We start from the raw sequence: 20,913 nt of genomic DNA on the forward strand, positions 1-20,913 counted from the left end.
GGCGTCCGGTCCCAGCCTCCTCTGGGAGCGGGCAGTTGGCGACCCTGCACTGACCCGCGTCCCTCCGTCCCGAGCCCGCGCGCCCTCAGAGGGTGCCCGGACAGGTAAATGGAGTGGGGTGCGCCTGCGGGAGGCGGGGAGAGAACTGCGGAGGGAGGGCGGAGGTGTCGATGGAAAGGTGCTGGGGTGGAGCGAGGAGGCAGTGCAGGGGTGACTTGGGCTTCTCTGGTGTCGACAGTTCCAGTTGTCGGGCAGGACCAGTTTTGGCGAGGTGCGTCTTATGCCACTGGAAAGGCCTCGAGTTAAAGAGTGTCAGAATGCGTCACTTAAGCTGTCATTACAGGAGGGAAAAAATGTTAACTTTCTCTCAGTTTGTATTCTACAAGACCTTTCTGTAGCATTTAAATCTCTTGAGATCGCCAGAGTCTTCTAAAAACTCTCTACGTCCTTGTTCGATGACGTCACTTTCTGCTTCACCTTCTACTTCTGGCTGTTTATGCTCCTTCGTGGGTTCCTAGCCCCTTATTCGCCCTTCCTCCACTGCTCAGTATTGACAGTCCCCTTCTTCCTCTGTTCAGGGACTGTATTTCTGCCTAGACCCGTTTCCTCAGCTTCAGACCTGTTTGGTGTTTTTATTAATGGCCAATGTTTATCAAATTCTGACTGCGTACTTTGGTAAATGCTTTACATCTCCGTCTCCCATAACTCTCACAACCAACCAACTGTCTTCATTTGGCCTCATTAATTGCTTTCAACTACCTGTATCTCCATTATCCCTCCCTTGATCCCAGAGGATACAGTCATGTTTAGGATATTAATTCCCTTTGAATACCTGTGGCTGAGAGCAGATCCATTCATACATTTAACAAATATTTATTGAACGGCTGGTATATGCTTGACACTCTTTTAAGTGCAGGGGATACAGCTGTAAACAAGACTTAGGAGGTTGCTACTCTCAGGAACTTACATGTTTGTGTCTAGAGGGGAAAACAGGAATAATCAGGATTATGTTATATATTGGTTAATGCAAAATAAAACAGGTGGTTGACTTGAAAGGATGGGATCCTATCCTAAGAAAGTCAGAGGTCAGGGCATCGTCCAGAAAGAATAGTTGTAATACCAACAGGAATAATCTTGATCTGTAACATGACTTTTCGTAAACACCTCTTCTTTTCCCCTGTCTAAGCAGTGTTTATTCTTCATTCTTCTATCTCCTCCAAGGTTATTGCATCAGAATTCATGGTTTATCTGTAGTTGGTTTATTCCTTCTAAGACCCAGAGAGAAGAGTGGGGGATTGGATTACTATTAGCTCAACTGCTTTATCTTACTTAGAAAGATAGTTTGGTTGTGAAAATATTATTCTTACCAGGTCCTTCTGAATATAAAGTTATCTACCATTTATAGTATATTTTAAAACCAAAATATGCTCAATGTTCACTCATTTATTCAACAGATATTTGAGGGAATATTAGATGGTAGGCACTGTGCTGAGCACTGGGAAAATAGGGTAAAATAGACACTTTGACCTCTCTTCCAAGGAGAAATAATCCTAACAGTATACTGAGGAAATTTCTAAGGCATAGGCTGACACCTGCATTCCTGTTCTTCATCCGAGGTGAGATCATCACAAAACATTAAGACATTTCCTGAGCAATTGCGGACATTCTTAGATTATTCACTTATTATACTTTATTGCATTTATTTATATCTGTCTTCCCCATTGTTCTATGGCTCCCTCAAGTATAGGAGTCCCTTCTTCCTTAACTTTATACCTCTAGTGTCTACTTTGACTGTCATATAGTAACCCACCAGTATATACGTGTTGAACTGAAATAGACTCCCTATTTGATCAAATTTAAATGACATGATTTATACAAGGCCTTCTTTATGTAAGGCCATCAGCCGTATTCCTCAACCTTCTCATTCACCAAAGGTGGACCATTCCATCTTATCAGGCTAGCTTATGTACCTTCTTTACCTTGCTCTCAGTGCCTTCTCTTCTTCCATCCATCCCTCCTAAAAGGATCTCCCATCTCTTCCCAAGCACCTTGTGTACCTCCCTCCATTAATTTGGTGGGCCAGTTAATTTAATAATCTGCTCATGATACAGGGGTGGAAAAAAATTAATTTCCTTTTTATATTTCCTATGAAACATTCTGCCAATGAACTCTTGCAAGAATTAATGTAATAGATCCTACTGCAATAATATAATGATACAGAATACTTTTTAAAGATTTTGCATTGACTATCACCATGTGCTATGTAATGAGTTAATTCTACTACTTTATTTGAACAGTTGTATAACCTCTGTTCACACAGCATGTTTTGGTATCATTTGGTTTCTACTTGGTAGAAACACATCTTTTTTTTTTTTTTTTTTTTTGAGACGGAGTCTCACTCCGTTGCCTGGGCTGGAGTGCAGCGGCGCGATCTCGGCTCACTGCAACCTCCGCCTCCCAGGTTCAAGCAATTCTCCTGCCTCAGCCCCCTGAGTAGCTGGGATTACAGGTGCACACCACCACGCCTGACTAATTTTTTTTTGTATTTTTAGTAGAGACGGGATTTCACCATTTTTGGTCAGGCTGGTCTCGAACTCCTGACCTCAGGTGATCCACCTCGGCCTCCCAAAGTGCTGGGATTACAGGCATGAGCCACCATGCCCGGCCAAGAAACACATCTTTGAGTATTACTTTCTCAGCCTGAGGTAATTTAAGTGGTAATGTTATTCTGCCACATTGTCATTTTCAGGATGTCAGATAAAAGCCTCAAGTATTAAAATTAAACTTTTTTTTTTCTTTTGAGACAGAGTTTTGCTCTTGTTACCCAGGCTGGAGTGCAATGGCATGATCTTGGCTCACCTCAGCCTCCACTTCCCGGGTTCAAGCGATTCTCCTGCCTCAGCCTCCCAAGTAGCTGGAATTACAGGCGTGCGCCACCACGCCTGGCTAATTTTGTATTTTTAGTAGAAACGGGGTTTCTCCATGTTGGTCAGGCTGGTCTCGAACTCCTGACCTTGGGTGATCCGCCCGCCTCAGCCTCCCAAAGTGCTGGGATTACAGGCATGAACCACTGCGCCCAGCCAAAATTAAAGTCTTATTCCATGCAGGTATCTTTCAATTGTAAATCATTACTGCAAAAGACAAATTTTGTCTTTATAACTGATTAAAAACAACAGCAGTACAAGAGTGCTTGAGTCATGACTGTCGTGAATTTAGGATGTGCCAACCTAAGATCAGCCAGATACTTCTAAGATGTAAACATTAAGCATTGTTATTTTAGGTGATTTATTGACACCTATTTCTTTATAGACAGGAATGCAAGTGCAGCACTGAATTGTGTGCCATTGCTCGTTTATAAGATACACATGTAGATGATCCAGAATATTCTTATACATTTTTCAGTGTTATCAAAATACAAATGCAGAATTAAAAGATTTCTCAAAACACATGGACTTGGCCTTTCCCCTTACTCAGTTACCTGAAACTGTCTTCAGCCTCTACTTGAAGATGCTTCTGCTGAGGAGGAGCATTTTCATCATTGCTGTTCTATGTTATTACCAAATTTTTTAATACAGGCAATTTCTTACTTACAAATGGATATATTCTAAAAGTACTGTTGTAAGCTTATTGTTTGGAACGCTGGATGCATTTCCTTCTATAAATAATGCTATCCATGACATTTACACTGTTATGCCAACCAGTATCATTTTATTAACTTTTAATTTAGTGGACTCGAAGACCTTCCCCACAATTTACAATAATTCCTCTATTAAAAAACTGCATTTATAATTCTCATTTGAATTCCCTTATAGCATATCTTTTTTTAGAAACCCAACAACTAGAACAAAAATATCCTTTCTTTAGTCCCTTAACATAGTAAAAACAGGCTTTTCTAACTCCAAACTGTTGTGGGTGACCCTTCTAGCCCTTAGCTCTAAGGACAGTCCTCCAATATGAGCAAGGAAAACGAAGGGACAGAGGTTTTAGAGAGGGAGGCAAGTTGGGTGATATGAGTATCTGGAAAGGGAAGGGTAGGATTTATTTGGGATGAACAGTGAGTTTCTAAAATGGAAGTTTGCATTGCTTGTCAGCCTTTTGGCTAAGATCAGGTGTAGTATCAGTTTAAAATGGGGGTTTGTTGTGGGTTGAATTGTGTCCTCCAGAAAGCTGTGTTGAAGTCCTAACCCGTGGTACCTGTGAATGGGATCTTATTTAGAAATAGGATCTTTGCAGATGTAATTAAGATGTAATTGAAAATGGGGTCATACTGGAGTAGAGTGGGCCCTTTATCCAATATGACTGGCATCCATATAAAAGAAGAGAGACAGAGAGAATGCAGTGTGAAGACACAGATACAGAGAACACCATGTGACTACAGAGGTAAAGATTGAAGTGCTGCACCTCCAAGCCAAGGAACACCAAGGATTGCCACCAAACTATCAGAAGCTAGAAAGAGATAAGGAAAGATTCTCTTCTACAGGTTTCAGAGGGAGCATAACCCTGCCAACATCTTGATTTTGGACTTTTAACCCTCAGAACTGGTAGGCGATACATTTCTGTTGTTTTAAGCAACCAAGTTTTTGGTACTTTATTACTGCAGCTACAAGAAACTAATACAGGATTCTTAGCAGGAATAAAGTAGAATTGGGATGGTGGCTGTGGGACCAAGTGGGGAGTGAATAGGAGAACAAAGAGGAACAGTGTTGATATGGGGCTTTCCTTTATGTTGCATTATCTTTTTTTCTTCCCTTCTCTCTCTGGCTTATCTTTTCATTCTTTTTCTTCTTGGATCTTATCTTTATATAGCACTTTATGGTTTATTAGGCATTTACATACTGCTAATAATTAGCAGAGCCAGGTTTTCTAACTTCAAGTGCAGTGTTCATTGTGCCACAATTGTTTCTGTTATCCCAATACTCATCAAGACGTTATGGATTCTATTACAAGACACTTACAATGGGGGCAGGTAAGACTTCATAGGTGGGATTTTTAGCAGTATAGCAGAGAGGAAGGAATTCCTATTAGTGACATCTGGAAGGAAAGTAAAGTTTCTGTTGCTATGTACCCACTGTTTAACAGTCATTTTTAAGTTGGGGACTGCTTTTATTGGAAGAAACACTACTTGCGTATAACTTATATTCATTGTTCCTAGTTATATTCTGAATAATGTGCTCCCTGTTCCAGGTGACTGTACTTTATATAAACTCAAAAACTATTGTCATGTTCCCTCTAAGTCCTCTCTTTCTCATGTTACATATCTCTAGTTCCTCCAGCCAGTCTTCAGATGACACAATCTCCATGTCTCTCACCCATATTGTATTGCCTCCCTTTTGTCTAGTCGTTAAATATTCTACCCAGAATTGAATTCAGTATTTTACATATGTTCTAACCAGCACAGAGTGTAATGGGACTAGTACTTAAACAGGTCAAGACACCCTATTTCTTAATGTACTTTGAGATTATGTAAGCATTTTTAAGCAATATCGCATACCGTTGGTTCATAATGAACTTACAGTCCACTGAAACACTAGATCTTTTTGTATTAATTGTTGCCAAGGTCAAGTTTCCTTCTGAACCTGCACAGGGACTGAGGCTGCTGCTACTTTTTCATCTCTCTGTTCCAGGGACCATATGATTTCTTATCTCTGTTTCTCTTTGTGTTTTTGTTCCTCTCTACTGTGTCTCTTTGACCCTAAGCAATGACCTCCTTCCTTGTTATAAAATTTCACTGATTGTTTTACAGTCTTCATTCTCTTTCTTTCCTTTCGGCTTCTGGGCCACCACACTTTTGGCTTTCCCATTTGGTCCTCCTCAGTCTTTGTGAGTCTCTATTTATCTACCTTTCCCTCAACTGTTGGTTGTGCTTTGGGTTTTATCTTTGGCACTATTTTTTTTTTCTGTATGCAATATATCTTCAGCAAATAAATCATGTTTAAAATGGCAGATCTAACTGAGCTCATCTGGGAATAAAAGGGCACAGAATCAGTCCCGGAGGAAAGTCGACATTTAGAGGTCAGGTAGAGGAGGAAGAGTCAGCAAGAAGACAAAAAGAGCAGCCAGAGATGTAGGAGCATTTCAAGAAGGAGGGTCGGTCAGCAGTGTTGACTGTGCCTAAGAGGTCAAGTAAGGTAAGAATAGAGAAGCAACCACTGTATTTTGCAATATAGAGGCTGTTGGTGACCTTAGGAAGCATGGTTTTCTGGAGTTTTAAGGGCAAAAGCTGGATTATAGTAAGTAGAAGAGTTGAAAGGAGGCAGAGGAGCAGAGATAATGCGTAACGATGCTTTGAAGAAACAGAACAGGGCCAGGTACGGTGGCTCATGCCTGTAATCCCAGCACTTTGGGAGGCCAAGGCAGGTGGATCACTTGAGCCCGGGAGTTCAAGACCAGCCTGGGTGACATGGTGAAACCCTGTCTGTACAAAAAAAAATACAAAAATAGCCGGACATGGTGGCACACACCTGTAGTCCCAGATACTCCAGAGGCTGAGGTAGGAGGATCACTTGAGCCTGATAAGTGGAGGCTGTAGTGAGCCAAGATTGTGCCACTGCACTCTAGCCTGGAGCTTGGGTGACAGAGCAAGACCCTGTCTCAAAAAAAAAAAAAAAAGAAAAGAAACAGAACAGTAGGATCCACAGTTAGGGAGGCTTTAGGATCAAGGGAGATAAAGTATAAGACAGCAATTTGGAAACTATAACTTACTGCATATGTGTAAGGAGAATTCTAGAAAGAAGATGGTTGAGATCACAACCCTGGGGAACAACTTCAGTTAGAGAGTAGGAATGAAAAAGAGATCCCCAAAAGGCATTCAGCCCAAGAGACAGATGAGCACCTTCTGCTCTGTGTGCTGTCCTTCCATGCTGGGATTGCAATAAGGAATCTGCACATTCCTTGATCTCAAACAGTTTATAGTTTGCTGTTGTGTTTCACAAAGTATGTTTGTGTGAATCACCTGCATCCAGACAGACTTGTATTAAATACAGATTCCAGGGCCCTACCTCAGGCCTACGGAATCAGAATTTCAGGAAGTGATGCCAAGAGTTTGAATTTTTAGCAAATGACTCATACTCTGCCACACAAGATGATTCGTATTCCCACTACAGTTTGAGAACCACTGGTATGTTGGGTACTGAGCATGTTAACAAATAAGAGTAGGTTTAACAGTTAATCGAAGACTAGACAAGGATTTGTTCATCTCTTTTTATGTTTATGCCATTAAATAAGAGAAGCTGGGCTTGTTAGGTGGGAAATAATAGCACATATTCATAGGCAGACATAAGGAAAATAATCTTAAACTCATGCCATATGGTTTTAGTAATGTTTTGTTTATGAAGGGTCTTACCATTCCTTTCTTGTGGAAGCTTTGAGTTATTTTCACTTTGTTTCTGTTATGGATAATGCCTTTATACTGGCAGTGTACAGTAAAAGGCTAAGATTATGAGCTCTAGAACCATACTGCCTAGGTTTAAATTGCAGCTCCACACTTACTAGCTCTGTAATTTGGGGGAAATTATTTAAGTCATCTGTGCTTCAGTTTTCTCATCTATAATAGAAGTATCATAATAGTGTATAATCTCATTGAGTTGTGAGGATTAAATGGATTAATAATTATAAAGTATTTAAAATGGTACCTGGCACATAGTAAACAATAAATATAGGCTATTTTTATTGTTAATAGTTATCTTTGTGAATCTAGAGTCTTAACTTCTGTTGAACTATTTCTCTAGGATAAATTTTCAGGATGGAATTTCTACATTAAAGAATGAAGACATCTTTATGTCCCTTTGCTATCTATAGTCATTGCTTTTCAAAAGGGTGATATCTGTTTGTGCTATAATAATTTGTAAATGCAAGCTATCAATGGTGTGTGTGTGTGTGTATGTGTTTTGTATGTCTCTTTATATGAATGCATACAAGCATGGCTTAGGTTGTAAGTTTGTAGAAAACTTTGACCTTCTTTTTAAGCCTGCTCTTAAGTCTGTTGTTAAGTTTCATGTTATAGTGCCTCGTTAGATACTATCTCCAGGTAGTATGTTGATAAATGATAGTAAGTTACCTTTGAAAGATTATGTCAAAGAAATATTCTAAATCTGTGTCTTTTTCCTTTTGATAGACTGAAGCCATGGCGATTCTTTTTGCTGTTGTTGCCAGGGGGACCACTATCCTTGCCAAACATGCTTGGTGTGGAGGAAACTTCCTGGAGGTGACAGAGCAGATTCTGGCTAAGATACCTTCTGAAAATAACAAACTAACGTACTCACATGGCAAGTGAGTTCTGTTCTGCATGTGGTAAGGGATGAAAGAAGGGAATTCTGTTACTCTAATCAGAACGGTAGAAAAGTAGAAAACAAGCTTCTAGGTACATAATTTGAATAAGCTGACAGAATAGTAACCTTCACCAACTTAGAAAATATATCTGGTTTTGTTACTTATAAATTTAACTTGTAATTATTTTATTCTATTATTGAAGTGATATTTTATTTTGAAGAAAGATGAAATGTTAAATGTAAAAATGACTTTGCTCTAGAGCTGTGTGATATGTGAAAATAATTCAGATAAGATAGATAATGTTCCTTTGTTCATTCTTTCAGTAAATATTTACTGAGCACTTAACTATTGCCAGGCACTTTGCTTGGTGCTGGGGATATAACAAGATATGTGGTATTTGCCCTCATAAGGGTTATAGTTTAATGAGGGAGAAAGTCAAATCCACGATGTCAAGGGTTGGGGGGATGGGAAGTAGTAGATAGGAGAATGGTATTCCAAGTAGAAGGAACAGCAGGTAGAGAAGTATGGAGGCATGAGATCATAGGGCGGGCATATTTAGGGAACTGCAGACTGTTCTCTGTGACTGGTGCCCAGGATGGTGAAAATAAAGCTAGAGAGATGGGTAGAAGAAAAGTCATGTAGGGCCTTGTAGGCCATATTAAGAGCTTGGACTTTACCTTGTGGGCAGTGGAAAGGCATTGAAGGTTTTCAGCCAGGGTGTGACAGAGTCAGGTTTGTTTTATTTATTTATTTATTTATTTATTTAGAAACAGAGTCTCACTCTGTCACCCAGGCTGGAGTGCAGTGGTGCGATCTTGGCTCACTGCAACCTCCATCTCCCAGGTTCAGATGATTCTCGTGCCTTAGCCTCCTGAGTAGCTGGGATTACAGGCGTGCACCACCATGCCCAGCTAATTTTTGTATTTTTAGTAGAGTTGGGGTTTCACCATGTTGGCCAGGCTTGTCTCAAGCTCCTGACCTCAGGTGATTCGCCTGCCTTGGCCTCCCAAAGCGTTGGGATTACAGGCGTGAGCCACTGCCCCTGGCCCTTCAGTCAGTTTTTGCTTTAGAAAGATCACTCTGGTGGCTTATTAGAGTGGCCATAGTTGGGAAATCTTAGTAATTAGTTTTAAAAAGTGCCTCAACCTTCCCCGTTGGCACTTAAAAATCTTTTCTTACTTAACCCAGCCTTACTTCCTTAGTTCTTATCTCAGAATGAGGTCCTTATTACTTTCTATGGCTAACCCCTTATACAGTTTAAGGTGTACTCTAAGCTACTATGAGAGAGACCCCCAAGATACAGTATTAATTTTAATGAGATAGTCCAGAGATGAGTGGTTTGGGATGTTGGGGTGGCTCTGCCATTTCCAATTCCCTAATTCCCAAAGCAATTAGTGCTTTCCACTTCTGGCCAAGGCAGCTCCTTTGGTGCTTGTTATATCCCAGTGCTTGCCCAGTAATTTTAAAGGCAGGGCCCAGAAGTGGCCTGATATTGTTGAGAAGCTTCCACTTACATCTTACTGTTCACTACACAGTCATGTAGCTAGCATAGCTAGAAGGGAGGCCAGGAATTGTCATCTCTGGCTATGTAGTCGTAGGCTCAACTAAAACTCTGTTACTCTGGAGGAAGTTATAGGATATCAGGGGATGACTTGCAGTCTTCCAGTCTACTCTCCTGGCCACCCAGATATTTCAGTGAACCTTTCTTCCCAAACATAGAATACGCCTCTTCTCTGAGAGAGGTAGCTCCAAAGACCTATCTAGTCACTGTGTTTGGCTCCAAGTCCAGCATGTCTAGGTGGTACACAGTCCTATCCATCAGGCCCTGGTGTGGCTCCTGTGGTCCACTGACCATAAAGTAAAAGATAAGTCATATGTTTTCCCTGCTTTCCCAGCCTAACCCAGTAGACAATGGTGAAATAAGAAAAGGATCATCACAGTGAGAGTTACAAACTCCCATTTGGAAAAGGGAAGAATGAGAAACATGTAGAAGTCATTGCTTTCCAGTAATGATCAAATAATTGCCTCACACAATTTCAAAGACTCCCTATTCTGACCAGGAAGTGGTTAGTGGTTCTGCTTTCTTGGAGGAACTCCCTCACCCTTTTTCCCTGACTCCTGGCTTTGTTCTCCAGGAAGTTTTTCCTTTCTGGCCACATCCAAAATGGTAGTTAGAGAGTATATCATCTTTGGGAATTGTACCCATTTTGTAGTCCTCTTGCTGCCAGCGTAGGTTTGTGGGCCTAGAGGTTAGGGGTTAAATAATCTTAGCTTCTTATGATTTTGGCTTTATACTTTCTCTAAAAATGTATTAGACTTACAGTCTTTGTGTTTCTAGGCAGTTCCTGGGAAAATGTCCAGGGAAAGCACATGTAGTCGTCCTTTTAGAGGCAAGACTGGGAAATAGGGCATATATCTTCCACTCATGTATTATGAGCCAGAATTTAGTCACAGCCATATGTAGCTTTAAGAGAGTATAGAATATGTAATCCAATTAAAATGCAGTTATAGTAGAAGGAGATGTTATCTGTCTGCCATGCCTCTCTGCCTGTGTCTCTGATCTAGCTGTGTTATTTCGAGCTTTGGTACCTTTTTTTCATGCTTTTGTTATCTTCTAGGAATGCTGTTCTCCCCCTAAGCCTCCTTGTAAACTTTTGCTCACTTTACAGGTCCCAAGCGAAATACTTTCTTAATTTGTACTTTAATGCTTCTAAAAGGGCAGTTCTGATCATATTCCTTCCTTCAACAGATACTGTCTGCCCTCAAGGTAAAATTCCTTAACGGGACTTGGAATATTCTTCAAGATCTGCCACTTTTTCCTTCTGTGGGCTCATCTTTTACTACTTTAGTCCTCAGTTTTGCTTTCCAGCCATACTTCATACTTAGCCATTTACAATTCAATGCTAGGTTCTTTCTCTCTTCCTAGCCTTTGCAATAGCTGTTACCTTTTACTGGAATATATTTATCTACTTAATTTTTTAAAAATCTCACTTTGTGTGCCTGAGCTTAGATGTTTCCTTTTCCAGAAACCCCTGAACATTAACACTGAGTCAGGCACCGCAATCAGACACTCTTTTTATGTGTCTACATAGCATCTAGTTTGTTCATATTGTAACACTTTTCACACTGTATTATTATTATTATTATTATTATTATTGAGACGAAGTTTCGCTTTTGTTGCCCAGGCTGGAGTGCAATGGCGCAATCTCAGCTCACCGCAACCTCCACTTCCTGGGTTCAAGTGATTATCCTGCCTCAGCCTCCCGAGTAACTGGGATGACAGGCGTGTGCCACCACGCCTGGCTAATTTTTGTATTTTTAGTAGAGATGGGGTTTCACCATGTTGGCCAGGCAGGTCTCGAACTCCTGACCTCAGGCAATCCGCCCGCCTCGGCCTCCCAAAGTGCTGGGATTACAGGCATGAGCCACCGTGCCTGGCCTCAGACTGTATTATAATTGAAATGATTGTTTATTTCTGTACCCTGACTGTAGGCTTCTTGATGGCAGGGATCATACCTTGTTACCTTTTGTGGCCTGTGCACCAAGTGACTTACAAGTCTGGTTTAGGAGAAACAAATTTTATGGGGAAAGTGATGACTTTCATTCTGGGCATGTCATGTTTAAGCTGTCTATGGTATGTCCAGTTGGATATGTCTAGTAGACAGTAGTGTAGGTAGTCCTGGAGCTCAGGAGATAGGTCAGATGGAGATTTGGGAATCATTGGCATAATTGTGGTAGCTGAAAACAAACTACAACAAAACATGAGAGTGCATGCTGCCCTCCAGGGAGTAAGTAAGTGTGAAAAAAGCAGGAGGCTAAGGAAGCTAGAAAACGTTAGTGTAGAGGGAAAGGGACTATGATATAAACCAGGTATATTAGCCTGCTTGGGCTGCTATAACAAAATACCATAGACTGAGTGGCTTGAACAACAGATACTTGTTTCTCACAGTTCTGGAGACTGCGTGAGGTGCCCGCTAATTCAGTTCTTGATGAGGGCCTTCTTCCTGGCTGGCAGATGGCCACCTTCTTGCTGTGTTCTCAGGTGGTGGAAAGAGAGTGATCTTTTTCTTCCTCTTTTTTAAAGCCACTAATCCCATCACGAGGACCCCACCCTCATGACCTCATCTAATCTTAAGTGCCTCCCAAAGGCCTTGTCTCCAAATATAGTCACACTGTAACATATGAATTTTGAAAGGACACAGTTCAGTCTATAGCACCAGGCAAGCCTGATGTCAAGAAATCTAGTGAAGATAAAACACTTTCCAAAAGGAAGTGGTCAACACTATCATATGTTTCAGAGAGAGCCACTGGATATGGCAATGTGGAAGTCATTGGTGGAAATGGTGCAAATAGTTTTAGAGTATTGGAGGAAAAGATTTTGCCTGAGTTCCTGTATCTCCTTGTAATTCATGTCAGTCCTCTGTGAACATTAATATAATTCAACAGGTACCCCTATCTATCCACTTGCCCAAGGTACAAATGTGGGAGGCAAAATTTAGTTAACCTGTCTCACGCCAGTCACCAAGTTCTATAAATGCTGCCTCCTATCTCTTCTCTGTCCCTTTTTCTTTATTACCCATTCTACTTTAGTTTATTTCCCTCCTCATTTCTTACCCGGTATACTGCAGTAGTCTCCTGTCTGGTCCTCCTTTGAGTCAGTTTTCCGCACTCTAGCCAATGTGTCCTTTGTTTTTTTTTTTTTTTTTTTTTTAATGTGTCCTTTTTAAAGTGCAAATCTGATCACACCCTCCCTAGGCTAAAACTTTTGGATGTTTATTCATTATTCTTAGGATAATGCACAGTGTGGTTTATAAAGTCTTGTATAACCTGGTTTTTGCTTACTTCTCCAGTCTTGTCTGTCCAGATAATTCACTTTTTCTTCACATTCTGTACTCTAGTCATGTGAGCCAATTTTACTTTCCTAAATCTATTAGGTGCTGTTTTACCTCTAGGCCCTTATGCTTGCTGCTTCCTCTCTGGAAAAACTCTTTGCTCACTTTTTTTTGTTGTTGTTGTTTTTTGAAACAAGGTCTCACTTTGTTACCCAGGCTGGAGTGCAGTGGCGCAATCTCAGCTTACTACAGCCTCAACCTCCTGGGTTCCAGCGATCCTCCTGCCTCAGCCTCCCAAGTAGCTGGGACTATAGGCGTGTGCCACCACACCTGGCTAATTTTTGTATTTTGTGTACAGACGGGGTTTTGCCATGTTGCCCAGGCTGGTCTTGAACTCCTGAGCTCAAGCGATCTGCCCGCCTCAGCCTCCCAAAGTGCTAGGATTACAGGCATGAGCCAGCCACCACGCCTGGCCTTTCGCTCACTCTTTACCTTGCCATCTGTTACTTATTCTTCAGGTCTTAAATCAGACATCACTTGTTCTGGGAAGTCTTTCTGGTTACCCTTTGGCAAATCTCCATTTCGTGCCTCATCTATTAATGTGTCCCCAGAGCACCATGTACTGCCTTTAACTTTCCTGTCATCCTGTTTGCCATGCTGCACTGTAATTCCTTACACTGTGATCCCTATGAAGACTGGGACTTGGTGGTTTTGCTTTTTTGTATCCTCAGCATCCAGCACAGTAACTAACTCAAAGTGGATACTCAAATGTTGAGAATTTGGTAGAAAAGATGTTTGCTTTAAGAACTTAGGAAAAAGCAAAGAAAACCATATGGCCTATTGGGGGTTAATCTTAATTACATCCTCCTCCTAAGATGTCATCTCTTGTTCATGCTTTAAGAGTCCAATTATGCTTTTGCAGCTATCGTTCTAATGGGTAATACACATGCTGTTGTGCTATGTAGCTAGAATAGAGATCTTTTTATTTCTTATGTACTTCTATCAGTTTGACTTGAAAGAAACAGGTATATTGGGAAGGGGAAGAGGGAGAAGAGACTGTATCCGTAAGTAATATGGTGACATTGGCAGTACTGAACGTGCTTATACATAGATAGAAGATAGAAGTAAAAGTGATGTTGCTTATAACCACAGTAAGTTTTATATCTTTTATTCTACAGTTATTTGTTTCATTACATCTGCCAAGACAGGATTGTATATCTTTGTATCACTGATGATGTAAGTAACTTGAAGACATATTGCTATTTAACTATGTGTACTGTTAATACAGCCAGTTCTTAATTATCTATACCAGGGGTCCCCAACCCCCAGGCTGCAGACCGGTACAGGTCTGTGGCTTGTTAGGAACCAGGCCACATAGCAGGAGGTGAGTGGCCTATGAGCATTACCACCTGAGTTCTGCCTCCTGTCAGATCAGCAGCAGCATTAGATTCTCATATGAGTGTGAACCCTGTTGTGAACTCTGCATCCGAGGGATCTAAATTGCATGCTCCTTAGGAGAATCTAATGCCTGATGATCTGAGGTGGAACAGTTTAATCCCGAAACCATTCACCCTCCCCCAGTCCTTGGAAAAATTGTCTTCTACAAAACCGGTCCCTGGTGCCAAAAAGGTTGGGGACTGCTGATCTGTACCTATAGTGGGCAAACGTGATGCGAACTTTACATAGCTGGAATTGTTAATATTTTGCATTTGTCATATAGAGCAGCAAATGTTAAGAAAACTTGATACTGGGGTATGTGCAAATCAACTCAATTTTGGTAGAGTTTTAGCTTAGCCTCTTGCAACTTCTATATTTATTCTATTTTGTAGTGAGAATTGATGTTCATAATTATAATTCTTTGATATCAAAACCTCTCAAAAATTGTTTACGTGGAATGTTAAATTAGATAGCATCATTTCTTCTATCAGTAGTTAATGAATCCTTTAATGTATGTGAACTTTGGAAAAACAAAATTACAATACATTATGATCAGCTATATAAACCTGTAGTTTACATTGGTTAGGTATGACTGTTTGTCGGCTCTCAGCCCAAAATTCTCAGTAACTTAATGATGTCATTAAGGTCCTTTCTCTTCTCTGCTTATCTCCGTGTCTCCTTCTTCCCAGACAGGTTGCCATTATGGTTTCGTAGAGCTACATACTTATTTATTCATGTCCGGAGTAGAGGGACTGTGTCTTCTTGAGTGTCTTATTGTAGGAATGAGGAAGCTTTTCCCAGCTGCATGCCCTCCCCTCCCCCTGCTTTCAAAGTGAACTTCCTTTCATGTCTTATTGGCTGCATGCTCATTTCTAAACTGCCTACTGGCAAAGAGACTTGGAATTGGCATGGTTGCCATAGATCAGGGTTCCTAATCTTTATTGTATCACAGACTCGTCACTTGTGGGACACTCCCAGAATGTTTTTGTTTTCTTTTTTTAATTTTCCTTTTCCAGAATGCTTTTAAATGTATAAAACACACACAATTCTAACAAAGCCAATTATATTGAAATATATATATATATAGTATTCAAAATATTTTAAAAACTTGATGTAGTAATATATATGCTTCTTTATGAACTCATTAACAAGATCTAGTCATAGGTCTAATAACTAATAGTCTTGATGTGATGGGTGTTGACAGTATTTTGAGATATCTGTAACTGTGATGGTATACAAAAAAAGATTTCTGTTGGTGACAGTTACAGGTACTGTTTAATACTACCCCGATTATGAATATACAACCTATATTCACAATTGAAATATAAGTTAACGATTGATAAAAATAATGATGTGATTTTCTTTTTTTCTATCCAAGTTCAAAGGCCCCTTGAATTTGGACCATTGACCCCAATTTAAGAACCCTTGGCTTAGACTAAGCATCTTGGGTGAAAGGGAAATGACTGTCAACCATAGTGATCATCACAATGATTTTTATCTCTGGCTTCACAATATTTTCCAAAAGTACGAAAAAATCTAGCTATATGTGAAATGACTGATGTGAAACAGCTTGGAATAGAAGGAAAATACTAATGAAATCTGGGATAGTTAGAGTCGAGCCTCATATTTCTTGAGCTATAATTTGATACACACATATACATGTATACATAAACACACATACACACATTCATTTTTTTCCTCTAAGGTATTCTTACAGAGAACACACATACTTTTTGGCTGGCTGGGATTAGACATGAGTATGTCACTTGATCTTTTCAAATATACCACCACTATTGAAAAAATTCGATTTGAAGTTAATATCAGTAGTAGTATCTGTATGTGTGAAAGACTCTATGATTATTATGGGATTTATTAAACATATTCTTGTGCTGGGCCTTCTAATAGATCTTATGAAATATATGGAGGAAGTAAAATTCAATTCCTGATGTCAAGAAGTTGATAACCTAGGTATCATTATCTTCAGTTGTCAATGACCAGATATATCTGGATTCATTCTCAGCTCTTTCATTTACTAGTTGTTGGACCTTTGGACAAGTTAGTTACTTTTTCAGAGCCTTCCTTTACTTATCTTTAAGATAGGATCAATGCTAGTTCCTCCTCAGATAATCATTGCTCAGTAAATGTTAGCTGTTTTTTATTGTTGTTCTTAATCACTCACATCATCTTTGTTTACTTTCTAAATGTGAGTTCTGTGTTGATCTCTTTTCAGGATTTTGAACGTTCCCGAGCCTTTAATTTTCTGAATGAGATAAAGAAGAGGTTCCAGACTACTTACGGTTCAAGAGCACAGACAGCACTTCCATATGCCATGAATAGCGAGTTCTCAAGTGTCTTAGCTGCACAGCTGGTAAGATCTTTCTCAGGATAAGGTATTTTGATTTATATCTTCTTCATTACCTTCAAACACTATGAATCTAGGGGGCCCTGACCTGCAATATAGTTTTCTGATTGTGTTACTGTAAGCCAACATAATAAAACTTCCCTGATTAAAAAAAAAATGTAAAGGGGCCATTTTAGGGTAGAAAACAGTGATAGTCTTTATTATCTCTATTAATAGTGGTCACAGTGTCTCATGATTGGAAGAGCATTAAAGATCATCTAGTTGAACTACCCATCTGATGCTTAAATGTGTTCAGCATGCCAAATGATCTTTTAAACTATACGTAAACCTTCTACCCTTCCATGAGGGAAATTTAATTTTCTAACAACCCAAATTAATAATTTGAAACTCTCCTCATCTGTATGAATCCCTAATTGTCAGCTTAGTGAGGTTTTACATGTGAATATACCTGTGAAATACCACTGTACTTAAGACAGCATTTTAATCACCCTAAAAGTTCCCTCATATCCCTTACCAGTTGGTCCCCTCCCCTACACTTTGCCCCAGGCAACCACGGATCTGTTTTCTATCACTATAAATTAGTTTTGTCTTTCATAGAACTTTCTGTAAATAGAATCATACAGTATGTAAACTTTCTGTAAATGGAATCATACAGTATGTACTTTTTTGTGTCTTGCTTGTTTCAGTCAGTGTAAGGCTCTTGATATTCTTCCATGTTGTATAAATCAGTAGTTTGTTCCCCTTTTTGCTAAGTAGTAGTATATGCATATACCACAATTTGTTTATCCATCCACCTGTTGCTGGATATTTGGGTTGCTTCCAGTTTTCAGCTATCATGAATAAAGCTGCTGTTAACCTCCATGTATAAGTCTTTGTGTGGACATATGTTTTTATTTCTCTCTGATAAATACCTAGGAATGGAATTGCTGGGTCATATGGTAGGTGATGTGTAATTGAAAAAAAAAAATCACCACTTTTTTTTCCAAAGTGGTTGTACCATTTTATATTCTCACCAGCAGTTCCAGTGTCTCTGCGTCCTTGCCAGTACTTGATGTGGTCTTAAGTTTTGCCATTCCAGTTGATGTGTAATGGTATCTCATTGTGGTTTTAATTTATGTTTTCATGATGTCAGACACCTTTCGAAATGCTTCCCTTTTATCCATGAAACTATTTGAGTATAAAGACGTAAGCTCTAGCTATGATTTTGTTGTGAGTTTAAAAAAAAGCTGTATTGTAATGGAATACTTTCACTTCTCCTGTGGTTTTAATACTCTGAGTATTACATTTCTAAATTTTATGCACACACACACACACGCACACACATACTCTTCTGGCAATAAAGTCCCTTTAAATTGGTTACTTATAAACCTTTATTATTCAAGCAGTTGGTTTGTTTCATACTCCCCACTAGGAAATGTTCATCTGTGTAAAACTGTGTAAAACACTACCCACAACAAAAATACCAGTACTTAGTCAAAAGTAAAGGGTCAGCTAGAAACAAAACTTTCAAATTAACCAATTTGTCATTAGCTCTAGATCTGTGTGACCTTCTGAACAAAATCTCTACCTGTTCCTTTGTCTGTAAATAGAGATAATAGCATCGTTTCATAGAGTTTTGGGGTGGATTAAATAATATCCCGTTTGAAGCACTTAACACAATGAAATGACTGGAACATTGTGTATTAAGCACCCCATAATTGCTAGCTATGGATAAATAATTTCAAACTATATATTATCAGTGTCTTAGATTCTAGATCCTGTGAGAAGCCAATAAAAATAGTTTATATGCTGTGATCCTGGCAGATACAAGAACAGATTCTGAGAAGCTGGGCCAGCCCCTACCTCATCATACTCAAGAAGTGGGGAACAATTTTGCAGCATTCTTTCCCCCACTGCCCCAACTACAGTCTTCTTTTTCTCCTTTCTTCCTTGTCTGAGCACAGATTATATATCCCCCCCAATCTCTGCCCCACAAGTCACATGTATATTTGATATAATGTTTATTTTTATTTTATTTAAAATAAGGTAATTTTTAGACTACATACTTATAGTTTGTATAGAAGCATTTTTTATGCTGCCCATATTTTTTCCTGGGTATTGTAACATTTTTCCAGTGAAGTGACATGTATCTTTTATATCAATAGAGACATAATTTTATAGCATTCCTCAGTGTAAATTGTCATTCCCCTTATTTTTGTTTTCCTATTGTAAATAATGTCTAGGTACCATAAGTTAAAACTTATTTTCTTATAGAAGCATCACTCTGAGAATAAGGGCCTAGACAAAGTGATGGAGACTCAAGCCCAAGTGGATGAACTGAAAGGAATCATGGTCAGAAACATAGGTATGTTTCATGGCATAGTTTCATGCATGTGGGCAAAAATGATAAAGATTACTTGACTGGGGTCAAATTATTCTAGAGAAGCCAAAATAGCACTTCCTTATTCTTACCATTGGAAGTTAATTGTCAGCTGAGACAACTGTGATACTGTCTGCTTGTGCAAATGGTTTCTTCTTTGTCCTTGCAACTATTCTTCATTCTAAATTTACTAGTTTGCTTAACAAGACTAATTTCTAAGAACCTTATGATAATTCAGCAGTTTAGAATAATTTGGTCAGTGTGATTGTACAGTATTTCACTGAGTTAATGTATCACGGGTTACCTAACCTTGCCTGAATTTTGGACGCATAGGTTCTTTAGCACAGTGTTAGAGTGCTGTTTTGCAACCAGATAAGGAGCTTGCTGAAGAATGTCAATCAATATTGTGCTTCCTTCACTGAGGCCCTCTTGCTATGAAAATGTCAATTGGACTGAACAGTATGCTTAGAGACTTAGTCAACCAGTTGCAAATACTCTTAAGTAGGACTGATTTAGAAGTTTATCCTACAGTAGTAACCATACTGTTATATTTTTGTGCCTATTATGTTTTTCTTATTTTCTTGAGATTAATTATCAGGAATGGGATTAATAATCAAAATGCGCAAACGTTTTCGTGGTTCTTGATATGTACGTCTTGGCTATTTAAAGTGATTTCCTTTAATTGATTTTAGTTTTAATTATATATCTAGATAGAGACTAGAGAATCTGTTGAGACAACTACTATTTATTTTTATTCTTTTTTTTGTCACCAAATGTATTTATTTTGCCCGAAAGTGGAGGCAGACAATTGCTACAATATTATTTATTGCAGATGCATAAAGTTTCCAGAAAAATCAACGTTTTTAATCGACTCCTTTTAAATGACTTATTTATTTTTAGAGTTATAGAAACAGCAAATTTAATCCATCTTGAATTAATTTTTGTATAAGGTATAAGGAAGGGATCCAGTTTCAGCTTTCTACATATGGCTAGCCAGTTTTCCCAGCACCATTTATTAAATAGGGAATCCTTTCCCCATTGCTTGTTTTTCTTAGGTTTGTCAAAGATCAGATGGTTGTAGATATGTGGCGTTATTTCTGAGGGCTCTGTTCTGTTCCATTGATCTATATCTCTGTTTTGGTACCAGTACCATGCTGTTTTGGTTACTATAGCCTTGTAGTATAGTTTGAAGTCAGGTAGCATGATGCCTCCAGCTTTGTTCTTTTGGCATAGGATGGACTTGGTGATGCGGGCTCTTTTTTGGTTCCATATGAACTTTAAAGTAGTTTCTTCCAATTCTGTGAAGAAAGTCATTGGTAGCTTGATGGGGATGGCATTGAATCTATAAATTACCTTGGGCAGTATGGCCATTTTCATGATATTGATTCTTCCTACCCATGAACATGGAATGTTCTTCCATTTCTTTGTATCCTCTTTTATTTCACTGAGCAGTGGTTTGTAGTTCTCCTTGAAGTGGTCCTTCACATCCCTTGTAAGTTGGATTCCTAGGTATTTTATTCTCTTTGAAGCAACTGTGAATGGGAGTTCACTCATGATTTGACTCTCTGTCCGTTATTGGTGTATAAGAATGCTTGTGATTTTTGTACATTGATTTTGTATCCTGAGACTTTGCTGAAGTTGCTTATCAGCTTAAG

The 20,913-nt window shown here is 39.2% G+C and overlaps 1 protein-coding gene across 7 annotated transcripts in view; it reads left to right on the forward strand.

Moving 5' to 3' along the window:
• The window catches only part of VAMP7 (vesicle associated membrane protein 7), a 62,425-nt gene continuing 41,512 nt past the window's right edge, over nucleotides 1-20,913 (forward strand). For 2 of the 7 annotated variants that reach the window (XM_017029760.2, XM_011531188.2), the window contains exons 1-5: nucleotides 1-104; nucleotides 8,114-8,289; nucleotides 14,279-14,336; nucleotides 16,768-16,905; nucleotides 19,153-19,243. In XM_017029760.2, coding sequence (XP_016885249.1) covers nucleotides 8,285-8,289; nucleotides 14,279-14,336; nucleotides 16,768-16,905; nucleotides 19,153-19,243 — 292 coding nt within the window. In that variant the 5' untranslated portion in view covers nucleotides 1-104; nucleotides 8,114-8,284. The remainder of the gene's footprint in view (nucleotides 105-8,113; nucleotides 8,290-14,278; nucleotides 14,337-16,767; nucleotides 16,906-19,152; nucleotides 19,244-20,913) is intronic. The other 5 variants (NM_005638.6, NM_001185183.2, NR_033715.2 and 2 more) reach the window with 4 other exon arrangements.

This window comes from Homo sapiens, chromosome X, assembly GCF_000001405.40.
Source record: "Homo sapiens chromosome X, GRCh38.p14 Primary Assembly".
NCBI lineage: Eukaryota > Metazoa > Chordata > Mammalia > Primates > Hominidae > Homo > Homo sapiens.